This window comes from Homo sapiens, chromosome 14, assembly GCF_000001405.40.
Source record: "Homo sapiens chromosome 14, GRCh38.p14 Primary Assembly".
Classification (NCBI taxonomy): domain Eukaryota; kingdom Metazoa; phylum Chordata; class Mammalia; order Primates; family Hominidae; genus Homo; species Homo sapiens.
This window is the reverse complement of record NC_000014.9, coordinates 22563185-22590617: the sequence shown is the minus strand read 5'-3', so window position 1 is coordinate 22590617 and position 27433 is coordinate 22563185. Positions and strand designations below refer to the sequence as shown.

Genomic DNA, 27433 nt, shown 5'->3' with positions numbered 1-27433 from the left:
ACAGTTCAAAATATTAAGAAGCTGAAAATAAAGTACCTGGTCATGTGTGGAAAAACTTACAGCTAAAAGGTGAGATGAACTGGGTCTAGAAGGTCGGATTCACGTGAAATTAAAAGGGCAACGAAAGCCAGAACTTAATTTCTTAAAAAAAGTTAAAACAGGCCGGGTGCAGTGGCTCATGCCTGTAATCCCAGCACTTTGGGAGGCCGAGGCTGGCGGATCACAAGGTCAGGAGTTCGGGACCAGCCTGGCTAACAATGGTGAAACTCCGTCTCTACTGAAAATACAAAAATTAGCCGGGCGTGGTGGCGCGTGCCTGTAGTCCCAGCTACTAGGGAGGCGGAGGTTGCAGTGGGCCGAGATCGCGACACTGCACTCCAGCCTGGCCGACAGAGCAAGGCTCCGTCTCAAAAAAAAAAAAAAAAACAGTTAAAACCCTCAAAATAATCCCACTTGTTAAAATACAAAACCTGAAACCATTTCAGTTTCTTCTGCAAAATGAGTTGGAGAGAGTAGGGTTGAACCAGGCATGCTCTTTCGGGCCTTTCGACGCTGACATCCCGGGATATTACACCAGGTTCAAGATACCAGCTTGCGGAAAGAGAGCTGCTAAACTTGACCATATGCTTTTTGCACGACATTCGACAGCTGTCCCTCCCTTCACCAGCTCTTTTAAGGCTGCAAATATATCTGATTCACGTGAGAGTCCCTACAAGTTAGTACAACGTCAGGCCCCAAGGAGGCGCCCAATAAATGTTGGCATTGCAGGGCCAGATCCCGAGTTCCAGTTCAGAACCCTGCTGAGGTCAGGCTTCCTCCCTGCCTCCCGCCCCTCACCACACCCACTCACTCCCCCAAGTAATTAAGTCTAAACTGGGGCCTGTGCAGTGATTGGCCGCGCCGGGTCTCACTGCGGATGAACTTGACTTGTTCCAATGATCTGTGACAGACATCTGCAGACAGCGCCCTTAACAGAATTAGGGTCAGGCTGGTATCAAACCCCAGGAACGCCAGGCATTGCCTCAAAGTAGATGCAAACCGTTAAATCTTCCAGGACTCAGAAGGACCAGAGAGAGCCGGATACCTCTGGTTAGCTACGCGGTCCCCAGTAAAGCTTATTCCCCTCTTCCTCCCAGTGTGTCTTGTTGCCAGAGCAACTGTGGGCGTCACCGAGCTGACGGGCGGAAACAGAACAGAAAGAGTACACGTCCCCAGCTCATTGATAGGGCCATTGCGCAGACGCATTAACTTTTCTGAGTTGTAGTTGAGTCTGTTGATGCAGTCCGCGTCTGCGCATTAGTTGTTACGCGCCCTGGCCGGCCTCAGCGCCTGCGCAAATTGGCACACCGGGGAGGGCGGAGTTAGGTCACGAGGGTGCGCATGCGCAAACAGCACATCCGGTGTGGTCGACGGGTCCTCCAAGAGTTTGGGGCGCGGACCGGAGTACCTTGCGTGCAGTTATGTCGGCGTCGGTAGTGTCTGTCATTTCGCGGTTCTTAGAAGAGTACTTGAGCTCCACTCCGCAGCGTCTGAAGTTGCTGGACGCGTACCTGCTGTATATACTGCTGACCGGGGCGCTGCAGTTCGGTTACTGTCTCCTCGTGGGGACCTTCCCCTTCAACTCTTTTCTCTCGGGCTTCATCTCTTGTGTGGGGAGTTTCATCCTAGCGGGTAATGGTTCTATAAGTGATCATAATAATAATGTGTTACTTTGGTGTGCTGCTTTTGTTTTCATAGTACTCTATATCAGACCACCGCCCCTTGAAGTTATGAGAAGAGCCTGCATTGCCCTTTTGTTGTGAATGGGGAAATTGAGGCTCAGAAAGCTTAGATTATATGCCTAATACCAAACGGCTCCGTAGGAGTTGGACTTAAAAGTCTAAAGAAACCACCTTCGTGCCGCTACTCCACTTGGTGATCCACTTCACTTAATATTGGTCCGGGGAAAACCCTATTCCAACTTTAACTTAGGTTTAACACAACTCTAAAATTAGTAGACTTTTCAAATGAAAAACCCAACCTTGAATCATCTCTGTCATCTTGGCCTAATCATTACCAATCTCCGGTGAAACGTTTCAATGAAAGTGCAAAGAATATAAATACTGGTGCTTTTCTTGTTGAATCATCCTTTACTTGATTTTGCCTTTTAGCTGCTACTACTTTTTTTCTTGTTGAGGAAGCTGTTATTTCACTGTCCTGAACCCAATTTTTGTTCACATAACTCTATTTTAGCCTTATTTTTCCTTTTGATTCCAGGATTTGGTAACCTTGTAGACTGCTATATTTAGCGAGAACAGTCTCCATCAATTTTTGTTAAAATCTGACTTTTCTTGCCCAACGGGGATTCAGTGAATACTGAAAACAGGCGTGGCCTCTATCACTGGTATCACCTGCTACTTTGACTTTGAAAACATGCCAGCATTCATGGTTTCTTTTCAGTGTGATCATCAGTCAGGTCATCAGTTGTATTTTCAGTCCAATATGAGGCATTATGGTAAAAGCTTTGGCACATGTTCTTTATCCGTAAAGAGTTTATGGTCTAGTTGGGGTACAGACAAAATACAGCATTGGAATTGTCTGGAGGCCTGGCACAGTGGCTCATGCCTGTAATCCCAGTACTTTGGGAGGCCGAGGTAGGCAGATCACTTGAGGTCAGGAGTTCAAGACCAGCCTGGCCAACATGGTGAAACCCCATCTCTACTGAAAATACATAAATTAGCCAGGCATGGTGGCACACACCTGTAATCCCAGCTACTCGGGAGGCTGAGGCAGAATCGCTTGAACCCGGGAGGTGGAGGTTGTAGTGAGCCGAGATCGTGCCATTGCACTTCAGCTTGGGTGAGAGTGAGGCTCAGCCTCAAAAAAAAAAAAAAAAAGTCTGGTGACAGTGGTGCTGTGCTTAAAGTTACAGACCTATAGAATGCTTATTGTACATTTACATTGTTCTGACACACCAGAGATATTTCTTAGAATTTAAAACAGGTCTGAGGATCTAATGACTTGTGTACTGAAGTTGCAGATTAGCCTTTTGATTGGATATTTAGTTACCATCTTTGACTTTTGTCCTAGATGACCAAGACCTAGTTGTCTGTGGTGGCGTCCTTGCCTTCAGGATGTGTTAACCATCATCCGACCAGATACACTACCCCTTTGCTCTAAGTATTCTCCACCACCCACCCACCGCCCTCTGCCACGGTACTATATGTTTTTATTAGCCAGCCCGGAGAAGGAACCTTGATGAGAACTTTTGATTTAATTTTGTTTGATGTTTTTGTTTCCAGGTCTGGAAGAGTAGGAGCAAGGCAGGGTCTGAAAGCTGATTTTAAAAAAGATGCCTTCTCCATGTAGAAGTCACCCTGCCTTCATAAGCCTCTAGGGTCTAGAATGATTTTTCATGGATGCTTTGAAGAATGTGGTTTGCTGAAGAGTGGGCATGGACTAGAGTTATAGATTATCAGTGTAATAAAGCCAGAAGGTTTTTTTGAGCAAATGACTTTCACTTATGCCAAGACCTGTTTTTGAGCCCGTTGTGGCTGAAATTGAATTGGCAGACTGGACTGCCTTTCTCCTCTCCAGTGGGAACTAGGTGGCTTGTCATTGAAGAAAAACCTAGTAAAAGGGCATATTAGTAATGGGGCCAATAAGGGGGATTAGGATTTCCAGATCTGTTAGATAACAGATAATAGAGCTATAGAAATGAAAGCAACTTCAAGAAAAGAAGGGATTCATGATAATTCTTAGTTGCCACAGAAGGGTATGATTTACCCTTCTTTTGACAGCATTGACTTTCCTAAATCCTGCCTCTTCTGCCATTTGTTAGCCTAGATCATCAACTGGAGACTGGTTTTAATGGGAAATTTGGACGCTTATCCTTTGTTTTGATTGTTGGCAAAGGTAGCCTTGTTCCTTTTTATGGTGCTGGGGTTTCTAACTTTCCTGTGGAATTTCCTGTTGCAAGAGAATGGAGGAGTCCAGTGAGCTGGGAGAGGGAAATGTAGGCGATACTGTTGAAGGATTAGGTAGTGCTGGGTGCTAGATGTTTGAATGCCAGGCCAAGGAATTTGGACTTTTTTTGAGATGGAGTTTTGCTCTTTTTTCTCAGGCTGGAGTGCAATGGCGATCTCGGTTCACTGCAACCTCTGTCTCCCAGGTTTAAGCAATTCTCCTGCCTCAGCCTCCGAAGTAGCTGGGATTACAGGCATGTGCCACCACGCCCGGCGAATTTTGTATTTTTAGTGGAGACGGAGTTTCTCCATGTTGGTCAGGCTGGTCTCAAACTCCTGACCTCAGGTGATCCGCCTGCCTCTGCCTCCCAAAGTGCTGGGATTACAGGTGTGAGTCACTGTGCCCGGCCAGGAATTTGGACTTTATCCTGTAGGTAATAGTAAAGCTTCTGAAGATGCTTTTTTTTTTTTTTTGAGACGGAGTCTCACTCTGTCCCCCAGGCTGGAGTGCGCCATCTCGGCTCACTGCAAGCTCCGCCTCCTGCGTTCACGCCATTCTCCTGCCTCAGCCTCCTGAGTAGCTGGGACTGCAGGCGCCTGCCACCACGTCCAGCTAAGTTTTTGTATTTTTAGTGGAGACAGGGTTTCATCGTGTTAGCCAGGATGGTCTTGATCTCCTGACCTCGTGATTCGCCCGCCTCGGCCTCCTAAAGTGTTGGGATTACAGGCGTGAGCCACCACACCCGGCACTGAGGGTGCTTTTTTAAAGAAAGGAAAAGATTTAAAATTGGTGTTAGCATGTAGGATGAATTGGAGGGAAATGTTCTTTAATCTTCTCTATTTTTTTTTGGCAGTCTATTCTCTTCTATTCCCTCTGCATGTGTTAGTTTAGCATATGCTCTTTGGAAATTGACCAGTACATTTTAAACCAATTCAGAACGCTACCAAACCTTTAAAAAACCTGTTGTTATTGGGCCTGATGGTATGAAAATAGTCTGTTTTCTTCTATTCCCTCATAGCTGAGAGACTTAACCATGGTTTCAAGAAGGAACCAGAGGTAGAAAGTTGTCATTGAGAGATCTTTTTTTGTGTGTGTTTTGGATCATCAGAGTATAATATATTGGCTTTAAAAGGACCTCAGAGGTAGAATATTTTTCTATTTGAGACAGATTTCAAACATCCAGTAGCTGACTGTTTATCTTGTAGTTAGATATCTCTAGAAGAGGACATCTGTCCCTTTTTTAGAGTTATATTCCAGTGTTGGCAACCCTTTAGTTTCCTTTTTTGCCCAACTGAAAGCTGTGCTCATTTAAAGTGCTATTTAGGAGGGATAAGTAGAAAACATTAAGACTGTCCTCAAAATAAGTCTTTGGTCTTGAAACAAGTTTTAATTCATTTCCCAACTTTCATCTGTTCTGTTCTCTAATCTATATGAGGTAATTTTGTCTTAAAAAATAGTTTTGTTTTTCCTAGTTTACAAATTCAAAACCAGTTTGAATCTGTAAGGCAAGGAGGCCTAGTCCAGAGTTTTCTGTCTCACGGGAGCTATTAGGCTGTTGTGGACTGGGGTCCAGCATTTCTTTTGGAATTATCCATCAGATCTGTGGATCCTAATATTATCTCTCATAACTGTTATCCGAGAGATTAGAAGTTTGCCACCCATGTGCCTGATAGTCTTGTTTCTAAATATCTTTCATATCATTGCTACTTTTTCATCCTCTGTTTTAGCCTCTCAATATCTCTTATGAAGACTACTGTAATCCTCCTTACTGGCCTTCCGGCCTCTGGTTTCCAGTCCATCTTCTATTGTGTTTGCAGGCTTGATTTGACTTGCAAATCTGATTGTGTCACTCCCATGTACAATTTGTGTTTCCCAAAGTAAAATTAAAACTTTTTTTTTGACATACAGGCTCTTTCATGATCTGGCTTCCTCGCTGTCTGCAGCTTCATCTCTTGCCTCTGCCTCCTCTATACTCTGCTCCAACAGTATTGAGCTACTTGTCATTCTCTGAACACTCTCATGTGTCAAACTATTTGCCTTTGCTTGACTGCCTTCAAAATTCCTTCACTTTTTAGACTTCTCAGCTCAAGTGCAATTTCCTTTTTTTTTTGTTACTGTTTTTAAAGAGAACAAGGTCTTGCTATGTTGCCCAGGCTGGCCTCAAACTCCTTGGCTCAAGCAGTCCTGCCTCAGCCTCCTGAGTAGCTAGGACTATAGGCACACAGCACTATGCCTGGCTTATTGCCCTTTGGAACCCTTCCCTGACTCTCCAGCAGATTGAGGTCTTTCCTCTGTATTCCTTTTTCACCTTGTATGTGTGTGTGTGAGAGAGATATGGCATTGTGCTGTATTTGGGTGTCTGCCTTCTCTCTGGAAGGTGAGCCCTTGAGGGCAGGGGCTGTCTTCTCATCTCTCCATCCTCAGTGCTGAACACTGTATATGTTAAATGGTGAGCAGGCCTATAGTCATGTCAGGAATAGTGAGCAATGATGTGCTAGGTTCTCTGCCAAGGTGCTGGGAATTCAACTGTGAAGCACACAGACGTGGCTTCTACTCTCACAGAGTTTGTAATTAGTGGGAAATACAGACAAGTAAATATGGATATGGTGCTGATGGAGAATTATTGGTGAGAATGGGAACACAATGTGCATCCAACCCTGCCTAGTGGTCCTGCAATAATATTTCTCTTATACATTCGCCTTCCTAAAGTAGGCTTCATAAATCACTCTATTTTTCCTCTTTTCCTTTATTCTTAGTTGGTGATCTTGCTTTTATTTTTTCACTAAAAAAAAGAAGTAGATAAGAATTCCTTCATCTTTTCACCACTGAATCATAACAGATCACCTACTTTTATACCCATACTCTCTGACTTCTCATGGTGGATGATGTGTCTCTTTCCTGTGAAAGCTCTGCTTGTGCAGAGGATCCAGTCTTCCCTTGCTCACTCAGGGACTCCGCTTCTGCAATTATTCCTCTGTTCCGTGTCATTAATTTCTGTTTCTCTCCTGGATCATTCCCATCATACAAACATGTTCTAATATTGTCTATTTAAAAAAAATCCGTTTGACCACAGATAATCTTCTAGCTACCATCCCATTTCCTTTCCATCATTACAGAATTTCTTGAAAGAATAATTAATGTTCCTACTTCCTCCCTTAACTATTCATTCCTTAACCCACTCTTGGTATTGGTCTGTCCTCACTACTTCACTGAATTACTTCACTGAAACTACTCTTGCCATGTTGCAACGTTTAGCATTTAATGTAGGTATTGGCTTCTGTGTAAAAGGAAAGTTTTTTCTTGAATACAACACTCTCCTGCTTGTTCTGTCTCACCTCACTGCTTTTTCCTTTCTGCTGTTTTGTGCTGGGCGCTTCTCTGACTGAGAGCATGGTTGTAGATACCTTCACTTTGTATTTTTTTTTAAATAGATAAACTTAAATAACACCTGTATACCTACAACTACTCCTTTATATTTTTAGTTTTGAACTGTCCCCCGAATTCCAAATTAGTAAATCCAGTTGCCAACTTGATGTCTTCACTTGATGTCTGATATGTACCTTGAACTTAACATGTCCAAGATCAAACCTGCTCATCCAGCCATCTGCCTCTTCACCAGTTAGTACGTGGTGTCAATGTTGGTTGTGGTTTTTTTTTTTTTTTTTTTGAGACATAGTCTCACTCTGTCACCCAGGCTGGAGTGCAGTGGCACAATCTCGGCTCACTGCAACCTCCATCTCCCGGGTTTAAGCAATTCTCCTGCCTCAGCCTCCTGAGTAGCTGGGATTACAGGCACGCTCCCCCATGCCCGGCTAATTTTTGTATTTTTAGTAGAGACGAGGTTTCGCCATGTTGGCCAGGCTGGTCACGAACTCCTGACCTCAGGTGATTCACCCACCTCGGCCTCCCAAAGTGCTGGGATTACAGGTGTGAGCCGCCATGCCCGGCCGGTTGTGTTTTTAAATGAAGAAATTTAAGTTTCCGGGGTCCCTTGATTTCTCTTATCTCCTGCATCTGTTTCATCAGCAAGCTCTGTCTTCTCCAAAATATAGCCTGTATGTCTTTATTTCTGTCCATTTTTACTACCATTCCCCTGAGCTCTTTGGGTCCTAAGTAATTCTTCTGCTTCTTTTTATTTTTTATATTTTTGAGACGGAGTCTCGCTCTGTTGCCCAGGCTGGAGTGCAGTGGCGCGATTTCGGCTCACTGCAAGCTCCGCCTCCCGGGTTCACGCCATTCTCCTGCCTCAGCCTCCCGAGTAGCTGGGACTACAGGCACCCGCCACAATGACCGGCTAATTTTTTTTTTTTTTTTGTATTTTTTAGTGGAGATGGGTCTCACCATGTTAGCCAGGATGGTCTCGATCTCCTGACCTTGTGATCCGCCCGCCTTGGCTTCCCAAAGTGCTGGGATTACAGGTGTGAGCCACTGCGCCTGGCCTATTTTTATTTTTATTTTTATTTTTTTGAGACGCAGTCTCACTGTGTCGCCAGGCTGGAGTGCAGTGGCGCGATCTCAGCTCACTGCAACCTCCGCCCTTGGAGTTCAAGCGATTCTTCTGCCTCAGCCTCCCTAGTAGCTGGGATTCCAGGAGCCTGCCACTGCACCCGGCTAATTTTTTGTATTTTATTTTTAGTAGAGATGGGGTTTCACCTTCTTGACCAGGCTGGTCTTGAATTCCTGACCTTGTGATCCACCCACCTCGGCCTCCCAAAGTGCTGGGATTACAGGCGTGAGCCACTGCGCCCGGCCTTCTGCCTCTTTTTAACCTTGCGAACCATTATACTGTTCCACCGCTCTTATAACTGAATCCGTACTGTTTTCTGAGGCTTACCATGCCCCTCAGGATTTGGCCCTTGTGTCCTTCCCCTTGATCACTATAGTCTTGTTGGTCTGTCCTTGATTTTTTTTTTTTTTTTTTTTTTTTTTGAGATGGAGTTTTGCTCTTGTTGCCCAGGCTGGAGTGCAATGGCACGATCTCGGCTTACTGCAACTTCCGCCTCCCGGGTTCAAGCGGTTCTTCTGCCTCAGCCTCCTGAGTAGCTGGGATTGCAGGCATGCACCACCAAGCCTGGCTAATTTTTTGTATTTTTAGTAGAGACGGGGTTTCTCCATGTTGGTCAGGCTGGTCTCGAACTCCCGACCTCAGGTTATCCACCCGCCTCGACCTCCCAAAGTGCTGGGATTACGGGTGTGAGCCACCATGCCTGGCGTCTGTCCTTGTGTTTATAACATGTCAAGATTGTTCTTACTGTCTAGAATGCTCTGCCCCCAGATTTTTACATGGTTGGTTCCTTATCTTTCAAATATTGGTCTTAAATAGCAAGCTCTTAAAGAGACCTTCTGTTATGATTGAATTTAAGAAAAGCTTCCCAGTCACTCTTTATTATCCTGTTTTATTTTCTTCATAGTACATATCTCTACCTAGTAGTTCCTGGTTTATTTGTTAACTTATTGATTATATGTTTCTCTCCATAGGAGTGTAAGTTCCTTGAGAGCCAGACTGTTTTGTTCTGTGCCATATTCCTAGCACCTGAAATGATGCTTGTCATGTAGTAGATGTTTAGTAAATATTTTATGGAATAAATGGACATTTAAGGGGATAGAGTAAATCAGAATTGCTAAAATGGAACAGACTGCTTGAAGAGGTAGTAAATTTCCATCTTTGGAAGTGCCCAGGGAGAGACTGAAGGATCATTGGTAGTGGAGCATTTTGAACAGGCTTTTTTTTTTGCCTTTTTTGTTTCCAATGCATCTGAGAGATGTGATATCCTTATCAGTAACACAGGCTCTGGAAAGTTGATAATTCTCCATCTGGAGGTGGCTTACCAGATTCTGTAAGTGGTGAGTATACTTTGGAAAGCTTCCCACGTGATTAGTACGCCTCCCCAAGCATGGCCACCCCCTACCACCTCTTGGGCATTGTATACATCAAATGGGGTGTTGGTGTTTATGACCTCTGAGGTCCTTTCCAACTTTGTGGGACTCTGATTCATATGTTTTCATTGAAATAATCTGGTTACCATGATCACAATAATAATAACATCAATTTATTACCTTATCCACCTTCATGGATAATTTTTCTTTTTTTCCCTCATATTTCCTCAAAACTCAACACCGTGTTCTTTACTCCAATGACCACTATTAATAGTTTTCTATTTCTTCAGATTTTTTTCTAGATTCTAACTGAAATGACAAGATAATTATGTATATCATTATATGTAAATAAAATATTTTACTTTTTTTTTGAGACGGTCTTGATTTGTCTCCCAGGCCAGAGTGCGGTGGCATGACTGTGGCTCACTGCAGCCTGCAACCTCTACCTCCTGGGCTCAAGCAATCTTCCCATCTCAGCCTCCCGAGTAGCTGGGGCCATAGGTGTGTGCTACCACACCTGGCTAATTAAAACATTTTTTTTGTAGAGACAGGGTCTCCCTATCTTTCCCAGGCTGGTCTCAAGCTCTTGGGCTCAAGCGATCCTCCCACCTTGGTTTCACAACATGCTGGGGTTACAGTTGTGAGCCACCATGCCCTGGCCAAGTGAAATTAGGAATGGGCTGGGTGTGGGGGCTCATGTCTGTAATCCCTACCCTTAGGCAAGCAGAGGCGGGAGGATTGCTGGGCAACATAGGGAGACCTTGTCTTTACCAAAAACAAACAAAAAAATTAGCTAGGCATGGTGGTGCATGACTGTTGTCTCAGCTACTCAGGGGGCTGAGGTGGGAGGATTGTTTGAGCCCAGGAGGTCGAGGCTGCAGGGAGCCATGATTGCACCACTGCACTCCAGCCTGGGTGATGGAGTGAGACCCTGTCTCAAAAAAAAAAAAAAAAAGGATTGGCTTTTTTTCACTTAATAAGTCTTAGATATGTTTGCTGTCAATGTACAGAGAATTTACCTTATTCTTTTGAATAATTGCATGGGATTTCATTGCATGTCAGTTGTATAGTTTAATCCCCTTGATGTTTAGACTGTTTTAATTTTTTTTTCAACTTTACAAACATACTTTCAGAATGTCTTTGTTCTGTAAGATAAATTCCTTTGTCAAAAGGTAAAATCATTTTAAATATTAATGGATATTGCTAGTTGCTCTCCCAAGTGGATGAATGAATCTGTACTTTCTACAGCAGGGGTTTACACTGGTTACCCTTGCTTCAGTCATTGTCTTTAATATTTTTAAGGGTCTGGATACCTGAAAGGATCAATGGTGCTTCCATGGTGTTTACATGTTTAAGCATAATGAAAACTGTTGCCATGGTGACAGGCTCTGGAGAACTAGTCTGATAGTTTTCTGGCCTTTGGATTAGATTTGTTTGTTGCTTTTTCTTAGTTAATGATGGGATGATGCTAGCCTGAAGCGAGTTTAGGTTTTCTTAAGCAATGTAATAATTTATCACAGGCATAAAGATACTTCGGAAGAGTGTATTCCTGGAACTGCCTGTTTTTTTTTTTTTGTCAATGGTGACTGTTAGAATCTTCAAGGGGATGGAGTGTGGCAGTGGAGAGTTCTCATGAGTTATCTCTCTTAGGTCTTCTGCCTTTTTTGAGACAAATAAGCAGCTGCTAGAACTTCGAGATCAAAGATAGTTTATCGAGAACTGTGAGGTTCTCAAGAATGAGCGTGCTATCTTTATAAACTCTGCTACCCATTAAATGAATATTCTATTAGAAAATAATTCACATTTTTATAACTTTTTATCATTCAGCCCGGACCCTTTGTTGTTGCCTCAAGTGCATCCCCATCTAGGTATAATTAGAAACCTTTAAATCAGCAGATAAGAGAGCTTTGTGGGTTTTTTGGTTATATATTTTTTTCTTTGAGAAAGCCTCTAGGTTTCAGTGTAACTCTGAGAAGTAATATTTTTTTTCCTTTAACAGAGTGCGAAATTTAATTGTACAACTTGATAAATTTTTAAATGTACCTGTCTAACCACTATCCAGATCAAGATGCAGGACATTACCAGCACCATAGATGCCTCCTTGCATCTTCCCAGTTATCCTCTCCCTGTGAAAGATAAAAACCACTATCTTGCCATAGATTGGTTTTACCAAGTTTTAAGCTTTTTGTACATGGAATCATATAGCATATACTTTTTTGTTTTGTTTTGTTTTGAGACGGAGTCTCTCTTGCCCAGGCTGGAGTGCAGTGGCGCAATCTCGGCTCACTGCAACCTCCACCTCCTGAGTTTAAGCAAATTCTCCTGCCTCAGCCTCCTGAGTAGCTGGGATTACAGGTGCGTGCCACCATGCCCAGCTAATTTCTGTAGTTTTTATTAGAGATGGGGTTTCCCCATGTTGGCCAGGCTGGTCTTGAACTCCTGACCTTAGGTGATCCACCCACCTTGGCCTCCCAAAGTGCGGGGATTACAGGAGTGAGCCACCGTGCCTGGCCCTTGTTTTATTTTTTAATTTTTTTTTTTTTAGATGGAGTTTCGCTCTTGTTGCCCATGCTAGAGTGCAATGGCACGATCTTGGCTCACCTCCACCTCCACCTCCACCAATTCTCCTGCCTCATTGCCTCAGCCTGCCAAGCAACTGGGATCACAGGCATGCGCCACCATGCCCGGCTAATTTTGTATTTTTAGTAGACAAGGGGTTTCTCCATGTTGGTCAGGCTGGTCTTGAACTCCCGACCTCAGGTGATCCGCCTGCCTCGGCCTCCCAAAGTGCTGGGATTACAGGCGTGAGCCACCGTGCCCGGCCTTTTTTTTGTTTGTTTTTGGTCAAGATAAAACATGACAAAATTTACCATTTTAACCATTTTTAAGTGTATAGTTCTGTGGCATTAAGTACATGTACATTGTTGTAAAATCATCATCACTATCCATATCCAGAACTTTTTTGTCTTCCGCAACTGAAATTCAGTTCCCATTAAACAGTAACTCCTCATCCTCCTCTCTGTCAGTCCCTGGCATCTACCATTCCACTTTCTGTTTCTAGGAGTTTGACTACTCTTGATGTCATATAAGTGAAACCACATGGTATTTGTCCCTTTGTCATGGCTTATGTCACTTAAAATAATGTCCTCAAGATTCAGCCGTGTTGTAGCAGGTATCAGAATTTCCTTCCTTTTAAGGCTGAGTATTCCATTGTATGTATACATCACACTTTGCTTATCCGTTCTTCTGCTGACACTTGGGCTGCTCTCACCTTTTGGCTATTGTGACTAATGCTGCTATGAACATGGGTATGCAAATATTGCTTGAGAGCCTGGTTCCATCCCCCACCCTCCCAACCTCCCAGATGGAGTTTCTCTCTTGTCACCTAGGCTGGAGTGGGACGGAGTGATGTCGGCTCACTGCAGCCTCCACCTCCTGGGTTCAAGCGATTCTTCTGCCTCAGCTTCCCTAGTAGCTGGGATTACAGGCGCCTACCACCACGCCCAGCTAATTTTTGTATTTTTAGTAGAGACGGGGTTTCACCATGTTGGCCAGGCTGGTCTCGAACTCCTGACCTCGGGTGATCCGCCTGGTTCAGCCTCCCAAAGTGCTGGGATTGCAGGTGTGAACCACTGTGCCTGGCCGAGATCCTGCTTTCACTTCTTTTGGATATGTACCCAGAAGTGGAATTGCTGGATTATATGATATGGCAATTCTGTTTTTAATTTTTTTGAGGAAACGCAGTACTGTTTTTCACACTGGCTACCCTATTTGATTTTCCCACTTGTTAGTGCACAAGGGTTTCAGTTTCTCTGCATTCTTGCCAACTCTTGTTTTTTTGATACTAGACATCCTAATAGATGTGAGGTGATATCTCGTTGTAATTTTGATTTGTATTGCCCTAGTGATTAATGATGTTGAGCATCTTTTCATATGCTTGTTGGCCATTCCTATATCTTCTTTGGGGAAATGTCTATTCAAGTCCTTTGCCCATTTTAAAATCTGGTTATTATTTTGTTGTTAATTGCATTGTAGGGGTACTTTAATATATTCTGATATTAACCCTTTATCAGATAAGTGATTTGCAAATATTTTTCCCCATTCCGTAGGTGCCTTTTCACTGTTGTGCCCTTTATTGTACCTTTATCACAGAAGTTTTAAACTTTGATATAGTCCAATTTATCTATTTTTACTTTGTTGACTGTACTTTTGGTGTCATATCCAATAAATCATTGCTAAATCCAATGCCATAAAACTTTTGCTCTGTTTTCTTCTAAGAGTTTTTTAGTTTTTGGTCTTTATCCATTTCGGATTTAGGTCTTTGATCCGTTTCGAGTTAATTTTTGTAGTATATGGTATAAGGTAAGGGTCCAGCTTCATTCTTTTGCCTATGGATATCCAGTTTTCCCAGCATCGTTGGTTGAGAAGACTGTTTCCCCATTGAGTGGTTTTGTCAGTTTGGTTGAAAATCATTTGATTTTGTATACGAGGGTTTTTGTGTGTTTCTTAAAAAACAAAGCAATTAAATTGATTCATTTTTTAACTGTAGTAAATGTATTTTTAAAATAAACTTATAATGGAAAACCTGAATCATTATCCCTAAATAGAAGGTCACACTAAAAATACCATGGAGCTAGGCAGATGTGTTCACCCGTGCCTGTGGTCCCAGCTGCTCAGGAGGCTGAGGTGGGAGGATCGCTTGGGTTCCAGTCCGGCCTGGGCAGCACCACCAGACCCTGTCTCCTGCCGAGTTCTCAGTGGCTCTGTGTGGCTGCATCCCAGAATATTCCTCATCTAATTGAGGGGGTACATTTGTTCCCCCAGCATATACACTTAGGCTCTGCCCTGTGGTCTCTGTGTGGGAGCTGGGCTTTTTTGTCTTTGGCTTCCTCTGGGTACCTGCCAGGTTCCAGCTGGTTTGGCCAGCCAGTGTGTATTTTTTAAGTTTTGTCCGGGCACGGTGGCTCATGCCTGTAATCCCAGCACTTTGGGAAGCCGAGGCAGGTGGATCACAAGGTCAGGAGTTCGAGACCAGCCTGGTCAGCATGGTGAAACCCCGTCTCTACTAAAAATACAAAAAATTAGCCGGGCATGGTGGCGCATGCCTGTAGTCCCGGCTACTTGGGAGGCTGAGGCAGGAGAATTGCTTGAACCCAGCAGGTGGAGATTGCAGTGAGCCGAGATCATGCCACTGCATTCCAGCCTGGGTGACGGAGCGAGACTCTGTCCCCGACTCCCCAAAAAATAAAGTTTTTGATTGTGTTGCCCAACTTACTTGTGCAATTCATCCATTTTTGTGTATAGCAGAAGTTCTTTTTCATTGCAGTATAATATTCTATTGTTTGTATATGCTATAATTTATCCATTTTACTGTTGATAGACATTAGATTGTTTCCAGTTTGGGGCTATCTGGGTATCATTTCTGTGTATGCCCTTTGATGTATATATGCATTCATTTCTGTTAGAGTAGAATTGTTGGGTCCTCGGGTATGTCTGTGTTCATTAGCATATTTATTTTATACTTCTATATAATCATTTTTTTGTGTTTTGCTTCTTGTGCAGTTTGCCTGAGAATACAGATCAACCCACAGAACAAAGCGGATTTCCAAGGCATCTCCCCAGAGCGAGCCTTTGCTGATTTTCTCTTTGCCAGCACCATCCTGCACCTTGTTGTCATGAACTTTGTTGGCTGAATCATTCTCATTTACTTAATTGAGGAGTAGGAGACTAAAAGAATGTAAGTGATGATCATAGTCCTTGTCCTATAATGTTGATTTTAGGAAGAGAAATTGGATGGGACTGGTTTTGATCATGGTTGGCCAGGCTCCCATACTGCTATTGACATTTGCAGAATTTTCCATTGGTCTGCAAAGTATGCATTAATATCATCATAATTCATCAGTGCTACTGCTCTTGGTCATTGCCTTGTCTTTCTGTTCTTCAAATCATTAAGGTAATAGAAAATTAATGTTTGTAGCTAGTACAATAATTTCTGTACCAATAACTCCACGAAAATAACTCGGAGATTTTGGAAGAGACATAAATGGTAGGTTTTGCCTTTAGATTTGTTAGTTAATTTTTTTCTGATTTTGATCTCAGATGACTTTTAATGCTGGACCATTGTTTTCATAGCACTTAAATTTGATAGCATCCAGTGTATGTTGGATGAATGACTGTGGGCATTTGCTAATATGTGCCTTAAAGTAGAAATAAATGGGGAAATTGGGTTAACTTGGGAGAAGACTTTAAAATATAAGATGGGATGCTGCTTGGTTCATTTGCCATTTTCACTTTTTTAGCAGTAGAGTTCTTTCTCCCTTCTCCCAAACAAACTCTTACAAAAAGAATCTTGGTATATAAAGCAGAAGTAGAATTGGAGTTTTTTTTGATGGACAGAAATTGAAAAGCCCTCTCTGCTTGGCCTTCATCACATATGGTACGCCCTCCCCTAAATCGCTCCCTCCCAAGCAGAGTTCTAAAGCTTTAATAAATATATGGCTGTTTTCCATACCGTATGTCAACACTGTTACTTTATATATGAGACAACAGAGGCCTAGAACAATCCATTGGCCTTCCCTGGCCACATAGTTAAGTGTTTGCAGTGAAGTGCCCTAGTCTAGCGGTGTTCTTGGCCCCGTACTCCTTCCGGTATCCCATGTAGCTTACTGATGAATGCATGCAATCTTTGCCTTTGCATTGCAAAATGTAATGTTCTGGGTGGTAGAGAAAAGAGAACCTTAGGAGATCTCATCCTATTTGGGGGAAGGATATCCTAGGACCAACCTCTTCCTGTCACCACTTGGAAAGCTGTCATTTTTATACTAACCAGCAGAAATCTAGTATAAGAGTTAGAGCATCTATGTGCAAAGTGGATGCAATAATGTGGAAGTGACTATACTTCCTTTTCTGACATGAATTAGTCATTTACTTATAATATGTTACCTAAATCCTTTCCTTTGATACTGCCTCAAAAACAGTTCTGTTAGTTCAGGTAAGGTATCATTTTGGTAGTGGTAAGTTGACAGTGAGGTTTATTTCAGTGAAAAACTTTTTTTTTTTCTTTTCTGTTTTTTTTTTTTTTTTTTTGAGATGGAGTCTCGCTCTGTTACCCAGGCTGGAGTGCAGTGGTGCGATCTCGGCTCACTGCAGACTCCGCCTCCCGAGTTCATGCCATTCTCCTGCCTCAGCCTCCCGAGTAGCTGGGACTACAGGCGCCCGCCACCACGCCCGGCTAATTTTTTGTATTTTTAGTAGAGACGGAGTTTCACCGTGTTAGGATGATCTCGATCTCCTGACCTGGTGATCCGCCCGCCTTGGCCTCCCAACAGTGAAAAACTTTTAAGAACCACTTTGTTCTGTTATTTTAATACAATTTAACTCATTAGACACCTGATTAAGACTTGAGTTATCCTCTTCCTCCCTTCCTCCCTCCCCTTCTATGTGCCAGCCAATGTCTTGTTGTTGGGAATATAAACAATATTGTTGGCTGGGCGTGGTGGTTCATGCCTATAATCCCAGCACTTTCGGAAGGCGAGGTGGGCGATTGCTTGAGCTCAAGAATTTGAGACCAGCATGGGCAACATAGCAAGACCCTATCTCAATTAAAAAAAAAAACCCAAAAGTGTGGCTTCTGCCTTCAAGACATGTACAGTCTAGTAGGGGAGAATACGTAAACATAACAGTTAAAATACAGCCCATTTAGGGCCTCGCTATAGGTTTGAACAAAGTGCTGCAAAAATCCAGAGAAGAGAGCAGCTGTACCATCTGGGAGCAGGGACAGCAGATGAGTTATCTGAGCAATGGATAACAGCTATTGCTAGTTAAAATGAACTGTTACCAGTGGATAACCTTGAATGCAGGTAGAAAACTGACCCACCAACATTGACCTTCTCACGCTTGCAAATATGAGTAACCCTTGGGCTTCCTGATAGAGCCTTCTGGAAAGGTCATGTCTTCTGATTGCTTACTCTAGATTTCTGAAGTTCTTTTTTTCTAGATGAGTCATGGTGTGTACTTAGGAAGGGGACACAGCAAACATTTCAAGGATGTTTTCTAGGCTCAGGGAGATACCAAATCATGGAAAATTATTTCTTAGGGCTGTCATGATTGGAGGAAGACTCTACTGCAGAGAGCTTAGTATTTCAAAATTATGACAAAAGCAAAGACAAAAAAGCAGTCTCAGCAGAAACTGTGTACTGCAGACCATATTAACAACCTAGGACCACCTGCTCAGCTGGGAATTATGGGCCCAAAGCATAGCAAAATCCTCAATCCCAGATTGCAGTGTTAAATCTTTCTATGGAGAGTATGTTCATAGAAAAATCTTTCTCTCTGGGGGATTGCCCAGATTGTTTTTCATAGAGATCCTTCATTTGAATTATACTATACTGTCCTGCTCTCAGTTTTTAAAAATATACATTTATTTGCTCCTTTTATGTGCTTCTAACTCAGCTATATGTGCACTGTGCCACAGCACTTTAAAAATAGTTCCAAGTAAATTCTCAATATTTATACCAGCTCAGAAGGTAGAACAAAACAGATTGAATGTCTTTATATTTTCCAACTAAGTTGAGAGTTTGATATTAAAAAAAAAATTCTGTAATATAGCTGATCTTACATGAATTTGGGGGTGACAAACTCTAACCTACTCTGAAAGAGGCAGGTCAAAAGAAAATGGCATTGGGTTAAAAAAATAAACAATTCAAGGGGAAGTAAGGAAGTTAACAGATAATGAGTGCTCAGTGTGTGCTATGCTTTAAGTACTTCTTGTTCTATATCATTTTATTTTCAGAATAATTTCACGAGGATAGGCTTGCTGTTCTCATTTACAGATGAGGAACTGAAGTTGAGAGAGCCTGGCTAGGATGGCTGAGCACGGTGGCTGATGCCTGTAATCCCAGCATTTTGGGAGGCCGAGGTGGGTGGATCACCTGAGGTCAGGAGTTTGAGACCAGCCTGGCCAACATGGTGAAACCTCGTCTCTACTAAAAAGACAAAAATTAGCTGGGCGTGGTGGCCGGTGCCTGTAATCCCAGCTACTCGGGAGGCTAAGGCAGGAGAATCGTTTGAACCCATGAGGCGGAGGTTGCAGTGAGCCCGAATTGCACCATTGCACTCCAGCCTGGCAAGAGTAAGACTCTGTTTTCTAAAAAAAAAAAAAAAAAAAAAAAGAGCCCCTTGCTAGAAATCTTACAACTAATGTATCTATCCAGGTGATCAAGAAAGACTCAATATTTTTTATTTTTTAGACTATACAAATGAAAATACAAAAGCAAAAATTCTCCCAGTGAGCTTCTGACCCCCAGAAATCCATGCACACCTGAAATGATCAGTTTTTGTTGTGTAGGTGGCGGCATATTTTTGAATGAATCCATGACAGAAAGAAGCTCAGTGGATTTCAGTATTTAAAAATGTATATACTTTAGTTTTTTCCATGTTTGTTCTTCTGTGTTTCTTTGTGAAATTCTTTTTTTTTTTTTTTTGAGACAGAGTCTTACTGTCTTGCCCAGGCTAGAGTGCAGTGGTGCAGTCTTGGCTCACTGCAACCCTGCCTCCCGGGTTCAAGCAATTCTCCTGCCGCAGCCTCCCCGAGTAGCTGGGACTACAGGCACTTGCCCGGCTAGTTTTTGTATTTTTAGTAGAGATGGGGTTTCACTCTGTTGGCTAGGCTGGTGTTGAACTCCTGTCCTCGTGATCCACTCGCCTTGGCCTCCCAAAGTGCTGGGATTACAGGCGTGAGCCACTGCACCTGGCCTGTGAAACTCTTTTTTAAAAAAAAAAAAAAAAATCTCAGTCCATCTCAGGTGTTCTGAAGGGTAATGAGGAAAAGAAGGACAGAACTGTATTGGATCACAGTTTGAGAATTAAAGTTCCTGATGAATTGGGCCCTGGGTCAGAAGGAAGGGTGAACTGGGCCCAAAGGGACAAAACCTTGCTTGAAAATGTGCTCAGCTCCCAGGGAGATAGTTGCCAAATGCCTGTGCCTTGTTAGCATTGTTTTGTTTTTATAATGGAGACCATTCTCTCACAAGTCTTAAAAAATTCAGTGTTTGATCCTAGCTGGAACAAGGGGGCTACAGGGTTGGGCAGAACATTTTAAACTCTGACTGGCAGCACTGTTTACAAACATGAAATTATGTTGGCTTTTCGAATTCAGTTAAAGTATAGTAATCTAGAAAATTACCTCGGGAAGGGGAACTTGATGTTATTCTGTGGGCTTTGCTGCCACCTAGTGGATGGTATGTTTCATGTGTTGAGCGGCTACTACAAAACATGAGGAGTTGAGTTTGGGGGAAGAAGCTACTGATACCTGTGTTAAAAAACCTAGTTTCTTTCCAGTCATTGGGGGGCAGCAGAGGTCCAGGAGGGTTTAGATGCTGGGTTGGGGGTTGCTTTACATTCTGGCCAGAAGTGGGCAATGTCGAGTTAGGAACAAAAGGGCATAGAACCCTAAAGTGGCCCTAGATTTTGTTGTGTGGGGGAAGACCAAGACTGTGCACATAGACCCGCAGGTTTCCCGTTTGATTTCTTTTTTTCACCTCCTTAGTTTGAGAGCTTCTTTTTTTGGTTTGTTCTACGTCTTTTATTCTCAATGGTGACCTCCCACGCAATAATCTTTAATTTTTTGTTGGTGGAGGGGCCCATTTAGTTTTTATTTCATTTTCTCTTTGATATTTCCACCTTATATTGAATTAGGTCCTGCCGCCAAATAAGCTCTCTCAGAGGGAACTGTCCTACATTTGTAGGAAATCTGAGGTAGTCACATCATAACTTTTTTCAACTCATTTTTCTCTGTTTAGAAGGTGAGATTAATTATATATTTTTTTATGTGCTGGGGTCTCGCTACGTTGCCCAAGCTGGGAACTCCCTGGGGTCAAGTGATCCTCCTGCCTGAGGCTTCTGTGTAGCTGGACCTACAGGTGTGTCACAGTGCCTGGCTCTGAGATTAGTTCTTTACCTTTCATTCTTAAAACTTTGAATCTACTTATTTTATTTGCTAAAAAGTGCTAATTGATGACTTTACTTGTTTATTGAACTCTATTTTATATTTGGTGTATTTAAGGCTACCAAAGAAAAAAGAATATCGAAATAGATTTATATTTATGAATTTCATTGCTGCCCTAACTTACTGCCTTATTTTCTCCATCCTCCCAGCTTGGATGACTCCTATTCCAAGTCATTCCCACCCCTCAGGTTGCATAGGAGCCCTTAGTCTACTGCATTCCTCCAGTGCTGCACTTATCACATTGTTATGAAACTATTCATTCACTTTCTTCTCTCTCCCACTGGACTCAATTGTGAACAGTAACAGTGTGTGTTTGTTGAATGAGTGTATGAATGAATAAACCTTTTTTTTTTTTTTTGAGACGGAGTCTCGCTTTGTTGTCCAGGCTGTAGTGCAGTGGCATGATCTTGGCTCACTATAACCTCCGCCTCCTGGGTTTAAGCAGTTCTCCTGCCTCAGCCTCTTGAGTAGCTGGGACTACAAGTGTGTGCTCCCACGCCTGGCTAATTTTTGTATTTTTAGGAGAGACATGGTTTCACCATGTTGGCCAGTATGGTCTCTATCTTTTGACTTTGTGATCTGCCTACCTTAGCCTCCCAAAGTGCTGGAATTACAGGCATGAGCCACTGTGCCCGGCCAAATAAACACTTTTTAACTGCAAGAAAAAGTTATGTTATTAAGTTACTTGGATGCTAAAACATGGAAAGTGGTACGAAAGAAAAAAAGCCAAGGCAAAGATTCATAGGAGAGGCTGTGGGGTGGGGAAGAGCATGAGACAAGAAGTCAGAGGAGGGGCTGGTGCGGTGGCTTAGGCCTGTAATCCCAGCACTTGGGGAGGCCAAGGTGGGAGGATCGCTTGAGCCCAGGAGTTTGAGACCAGCATGGGTGATATAGCAAGACCTTGTCTCTACCAAAAATCAAAAGAATTAGAGGGGCGTGGTGGCGTGTGCCTGTGGTCCCAGCTACTCAGAAGGCTGAGGTGGAAGGATTGCTTGAGCGTGGGAGGTCACGGCTGCAGTGAACTGTGATCATGCCACTTGCACTCCAGCCTGAGTGACAGAGTGAGAACCTGTCTCAAAAAAAAAAAAAAAAAAATCAGAAGACTTGTATTGTAGGCTTTGCTCTGTTAACTAGTTGAATGGACAAATAAACTTACCTCTGAGCCTCAGTTTCTCTGTCTGTGTTGTGAGAGGATTGGTCTGGATGTTCATCAAAGTCTCTTGCCACTGTTAATGCCTCTCAGCATGATTCTTGATGGTTCTTTTGTGTTTGAGGAGGATTGTACTGTTTTTGTTGATCCTCATTTGGGCTTTGCTTTCTGTTTTCTCCTTAATCGTTGCTTTTTATTCATATTTTCAGATTCCCATTATCCATTTATAGGAGGCAGAAAGTTAAATGATTATAACAAGATGCACATATTTGTATGAAGCCTTTTACAAAAAGTAAACATTTGTAAAATGTCTTCTAGTTCCCACGTTAACAGGCTTGTAGGATTCACATACATTCCACATATACTTTTACATACATCAGCTCATGTGATCCTTCCTTCCTACCCAGTGATGTGGAGACAGACAAATAGTAGTATTCCTATTTTACACTTGAGGTAATTACACCTTGGTGAAACTTTAGTTGATGTATCCAGGCCCTGGAACTAATAAGTGACTGAGGGGGAACTGGATAACAGACATTTGGACTCTAAACCTTTATATTCCTTCCTGTTATGTTTAGGACTCTCAGATGATGGCTTTATATATATGTCATGTTAGAGGGTTTTCATTAAAAATATTAAACTTTTCTTTTTAAGAAATTTTTATTTATTTTAAATTTTCATCAGAGCCATCAGACTGGATTCTTTTCTTTTTTAAATGGGAAAAATTTGGCAGAGATTGATAGGAAAGGATGAAGGCCGGCTATCTCAAATGTTTCTGCATAGTTGGCCATACTTAATATGGTCCAGGAGAAATGGAGGAGAATGCAGGTCAGGAGACCTGACTTTGGCTAGGGAGGGTGATCCTGGACCAGCACTGTCCAACAGAGCTTTTTGCAGTGGGGAAACATTCAGGGTCTGCACCGCCCATTATGGTAACCACTAGCCACATGTGGTTATTGAACATTTGAAATGTGGCTAACAGACTGAAGAACTGAATTTTTAATTTAACTTTGACTAAGTTTAAATAGTCACCTGTGTCTAGTGGCTGTGGTGTTGGACAGCACAGCTCTGGACAGATTTGTCAACACTATCAGGTTACAGTTTTCTCATCTCTGTAATGAAAGGATTAAAGAAGCTGATCTCTAAAGCTCCTTTCATTTTTTAGAAATACACAGTCTGTGCCTTCTAAAACTGGTGATTCAAATTGAGCTGTAAACCTAGAATTTCTGCAGAATGGTCTTTGATTCACATTATTTCTAATTTCAGTTTTAATTGGGTGACTAGAATCCAGGATGAGATGAATTTGAAGGAAAATCAGTATTTGAACATATCTGCCCAGTGCTAGTGTCTGAATAGAGATATTGCTGGAGAAGAATACAGATTCCAAATAGAAATGACCCTGGCTGGCATTATCTTTTCTATCTCTACAGCGTCATTTTTAACAGTTCTTTGTGTTATGCCTTGCTTTCTTTTTAGATGATTAGAACAAACTGATTAAATGGCACTGTCTTCTGCCCAGGTGAAATAGACTGAAGTCACGCTAACTTTTCTCAGTAGGTGTCTTCATTTTGCATGTCTTGATATCAGGGGAGGAGATTTTATTAGTCAGTTTCCTGAAACCTTTATGCCCTGGTTAATAGTTGAAACCATTCTTCTTAGCTGTTGAGTAGTCAATTGTGTGAGCTAATATTTCAAAGAATCCTAGAACCTCTGCTTTTAGAATAGTGTCTGGTAAATAGATCTGCTTTAAAAGAGGGGAAGCAGATCTTTGTAAACAGAATTTTCTGAAAACCACTATCAAAGAGACTTACTCTCATGAGTCAATTTTTGCCTTTCACGTGGACTGGCCTCAGCATCTTAGATTTAAATGTTTTAATATAATAAAATCTTTAAACTTTGATTTTGTACTAAACTAGGATTTCTTTTATATTTCTAAAAGTGTCAAGGCTTTGTTCACTGAAAATGGCATTATGATCTAGTCCTCTCTCACCTTGGCCATTAGAAATGTAATGTAGCCAGGCATGGTGGCCTGTGATCCCAGCACTTTGGGAGGCTGGGGCGGGTGGATCACCTGAGGTCAGGAGTTCGAGACCAGCCTGACCAACATGGTGAAACCCCATCTCTACTAAAAATGCAAAAATTAGCTGGGTGTGGTGGCACACGCCTGTAATCCCAGCTACTCAGCAGGTTGAAGCAGAGAATCGCCTGAACCCGGGAGGCGGAGGTTGCGGTGACCCGAGATCACGCCATTGCACTCCAGCCTGGACAACAAGCACAAAACTCTGTCTTGAAAAAAAAAAAAGCTGTAATGTTATATTGGCTGATAGTCTATTGCCAGAGAGTTTGCTTTAAGAAATTTGATGGAATGAATAGGTGAGTTTGAATAGGTCTGTTTGGTTTTGTTTGGCACTGTGAACACCTTTTGCTTCCTGTTATTGCTCTTTCTTTTATACATTTCTTATAATACCACTGATTCAGGAATGTTCTGCAATTATGTAGCATTTCTGTAAATACCAGTGTTAGTGAAATAAAAGCATTCTGGCTGAAAGTCCAAAATCTCTCCTTTAAGTTCTGATGCCAGAATCTCCAGGTTACTTACTTGACCCAATATACCAAATAAGGTAGTGCCCTTTTTCCTCCTGGGGCAGCCCGGTTCTTCTGAAAGGTAGTATTTCCCAGCCTCTTTTGAGTCATGGTACACGTAGGAGATTGCAGTATTTTTATGGCACACTGGGAAAATCAGTTGCTTATAGCTGGAGACATTGGAGCCCCTAAGGCTGGAGGTCACTTTCCAACCAGAGCTGTGCTGGAGTCCAGTAGGTGGGAGGCTGTGCTTTGAGGGACTAAAGGAAGCCTGTATCTTGTGGTGAGGGTTCCACCTCACAAGTTACAGATCTCAGTTCCATTTGGCTCTAGCAGCAATGTGGCCACTTCTGTTGCGGTTACTCTTTCTTCACCTTTTTCTTGCCAAAAATAAACTTATCTTTAAATGAAAACTAAATTATTTCTTATATTTTGGTCCTTTGTTATAGCTGAGATTGGGAATTTTTCTTTCTTTCTTGAATCCTTACTTCCCTACCCTGCCTCCCCACCAATGGAAATCTGTGCTTCATAAGCATTTTAGATTCCAGAAAGCTCTTTAGGTTAAACTACAACCCTCTCACCTCAAAGAATTTGTGGGCCAGGGAAGTCAGTGACTTATGTGAAGTCTTGCGGCTAATTAATGGTAGAGCTGGAGTTAGGACACATGTCTCACAGTTCCTAGTTCGTTTTGCTTTGATGTGCTTGAAATTCAGTTTTGACATTAATTTTTCTGGATACTACTCCCATAAAATGTTCTTTGAAAAATACTTGCTTCTTTCTAGTTTTTCTCGCCTGGTTTAAATATTGTCCTGAGTGTGGGAACCCCATAACTGTCTTGTGGGTTAGAATTTAGATGGAAGGATTTGGGGCCCTGTCTCTAGTATCATAAGACATTTAACCTTGCTGCTTTTTTCTTCTAGGTTCACTCTTTGAATTTCCTGGATAAGAGTTCTGGAGATGGCAGCTTATTGGACACATGGATTTTCTTCAGATTTGCACTTACTGCTAGCTCTGCTTTTTATGCAGGAGAAAAGCCCAGAGTTCACTGTGTGTCAGAACAACTTTCTAACAAACATTTATTAATCCAGCCTCTGCCTTTCATTAAATGTAACCTTTTGCCTTCCAAATTAAAGAACTCCATGCCACTCCTCCATATGCCTCTGGCTCTGTTTTTATTCTTTGCTGGTATCAGAATCCTTTTTTTCTCTTCAGTCCTCTGTGCTGAACTCTTTATGAGTTGGTAACTTACAGCTGTGAACCTGCCTCCTTGTTTTCATTAAGTATATTTGAAGTTAATGGCAAAAGGCAGTGCTGACAACCCTGGGAAATGGCAGTCCTTTGTCTTCTTCCTGGAGCAGGTAATCCTTTACTAATCCTTCGATTGTTACAGGTGCTTCCACTCTTATGACAGTGCATTCCTGGAACTGCATCATTATGCACTCTGCTAGAAATTGAACTAAGTATGTGCTACCACATTTACATCTGTTTCAACATGTTTTAGTGGTAAAAGTGAAATATATTTCTCTTAGGCAATGTAGACAGAGTGAAAAATGGGGGTTATGTATGTGTTGACTTATAAGATACAATATTTTCCAAAGCACCTTCACAAATATTCTCTCATTTTATTCTTGCAATTATCTTAGGGGTTCCTGTCCTCATTAGTTAGGTGAAGAAATTGAAACTCAGATTTGTGACTTGCTTAAGATCAGAGTTCATGACAAAGCTTGGATGGAATGTAGGTCTGCTGGCTGAAGTCTGTCATGTTCGCAGCCCTGTTTTCATCTTGGGTGCTGTTGGGTTGCTATATATGGGGCGGAAGCTATGTTGAGAATGCCACTACTTAAATTTAGCCAACTACCGAGAATGATGAGTTTCAAGCTTCTCCAACTTGGCTGCACGTTAGCATGACTTGGGTAATGTAAAAAGAAAATCCCAACGTCCAGGCCACAACCCACACCAATTAAGTAAAAATCTCTTGGGGTGGCTTCTGTAGTTTGTAAAGCTACCCAGGTGATTCCAGAGCACAGCAAATTGGAGAAACACTGCTCTGGATTCTTGCTACTCAAAATGTAGTCATTGACTACCAGTATTGGCATCGCCTGGGAGCACAGGCCTCACCCCAAACCTACAGAAGCAACATCTTCATTTTAACAAGGTCCTCCGGTGATTTATGTGCACAATAAGATTTGAGAATCTCTCATCTACAGCAGTGGTTCTCAAAGTTTGGCATGTCTCAAGATTACCTAGGAACTTGGTGAAAAGCTTGGGCCTGTATGTTTCTTATTAGCTCTCTGCCTAACTGGTAACACACTGAGTCAGGAGTCCGCAAGCTTTTCCTTAAACAAATGGGCATGGCTATATTCCACTATCACTTTATTTATAAAAATTGGTTGTGGCTATGTGGGTCATGGTTTGCCATTCTTAAGTGATACTAGTTCATTGAGATTATAACTGAGCAGTTTAATCTGCACTTTTTTTTTTCTTTTTTGTTTTTGTGAGATGGAGTTTTGCTCTCGTTACCCAGGCTGGAGTGCAATGGTGTGATCTCGGCTCACTGCAACCTCCGCCTCCTGGGTTCAAGCAATTCTCCCACCCCAGCCTCCCGAGTAGCTGGGATTATAGGTGCACACCAACATGCCCGGCTAATTTTTGTATTTTTAGTAGAGACAGGGTTTCTCCATGTTGGTCAGGCTGGTCTCAAACTCCTGACCTCAGGTGATCTGCCCGCCTCAGCCTCCCAAAGTGCTGGGATTATAGGCGTGAGCCACTGTGCCTGGCCTAATCTGTTCTAAAACTTATATACAGATGTCACAGACCCTATCAGGAGGCTTCTGGATAATTTTTAGTCTAGAGAAATTGGAATTTTGAATAAG

General features: G+C 42.4%; 1 protein-coding gene across 1 annotated transcript, besides 5 other annotated features; it reads left to right on the top strand.

Moving 5' to 3' along the window:
- Positions 1114–1755: an enhancer, noted in NCBI's record as "H3K27ac hESC enhancer chr14:23057769-23058410 (GRCh37/hg19 assembly coordinates)". NCBI's record gives its function as "activates a minimal SCP1, AML or CMV promoter by ChIP-STARR-seq in naive H9 embryonic stem cells {active_cell/tissue: H9 hESC(naive)}" and the evidence as "EXISTENCE:reporter gene assay evidence [ECO:0000049][PMID:30033119]".
- On the top strand, positions 1394–25711 carry DAD1 (defender against cell death 1). Its single transcript, NM_001344.4, has 3 exons — positions 1394–1671; positions 15385–15559; positions 25481–25711. Exons 1-2 carry the CDS (start codon positions 1461–1463, stop codon positions 15513–15515), a joined length of 342 nt encoding a protein of 113 aa, NP_001335.1. The 5' UTR covers positions 1394–1460; the 3' UTR covers positions 15516–15559; positions 25481–25711.
- Positions 1756–2397: an enhancer, noted in NCBI's record as "H3K27ac hESC enhancer chr14:23057127-23057768 (GRCh37/hg19 assembly coordinates)". NCBI's record gives its function as "activates a minimal SCP1, AML or CMV promoter by ChIP-STARR-seq in naive H9 embryonic stem cells {active_cell/tissue: H9 hESC(naive)}" and the evidence as "EXISTENCE:reporter gene assay evidence [ECO:0000049][PMID:30033119]".
- Positions 7822–8323: an enhancer, noted in NCBI's record as "H3K4me1 hESC enhancer chr14:23051199-23051700 (GRCh37/hg19 assembly coordinates)". NCBI's record gives its function as "activates a minimal SCP1, AML or CMV promoter by ChIP-STARR-seq in naive H9 embryonic stem cells {active_cell/tissue: H9 hESC(naive)}" and the evidence as "EXISTENCE:reporter gene assay evidence [ECO:0000049][PMID:30033119]".
- Positions 10199–10361: a silencer, noted in NCBI's record as "fragment chr14:23049159-23049321 (GRCh37/hg19 assembly coordinates)". NCBI's record gives its function as "represses an EF-1alpha promoter that drives an FKBP-Casp9 reporter gene in an ReSE screen in phorbol 12-myristate 13-acetate-treated (for megakaryocytic differentiation) K562 erythroleukemia cells {active_cell/tissue: K562(+PMA)}" and the evidence as "EXISTENCE:reporter gene assay evidence [ECO:0000049][PMID:32094911]".
- Positions 19602–20324: an enhancer, noted in NCBI's record as "NANOG-H3K27ac hESC enhancer chr14:23039191-23039913 (GRCh37/hg19 assembly coordinates)". NCBI's record gives its function as "activates a minimal SCP1, AML or CMV promoter by ChIP-STARR-seq in naive H9 embryonic stem cells {active_cell/tissue: H9 hESC(naive)}" and the evidence as "EXISTENCE:reporter gene assay evidence [ECO:0000049][PMID:30033119]".
- Positions 25712–27433: the final 1722 nt, after the last annotated feature.

What these genes read in the sequence shown, in the direction of transcription:
- DAD1 (NM_001344.4), top strand. Translation starts at nt 1,461, where the DNA reads ATGTCGGCGTCGGTAGTGTCTGTCATTTCGCGGTTCTTAGAAGAGTAC. An exon ending in GGGGAGTTTCATCCTAGCGG is followed by an intron (nt 1,672 to 15,384) that starts GTAATGGTTCTA and finishes CTTCTTGTGCAG; the next exon opens with TTTGCCTGAGAATACAGATC.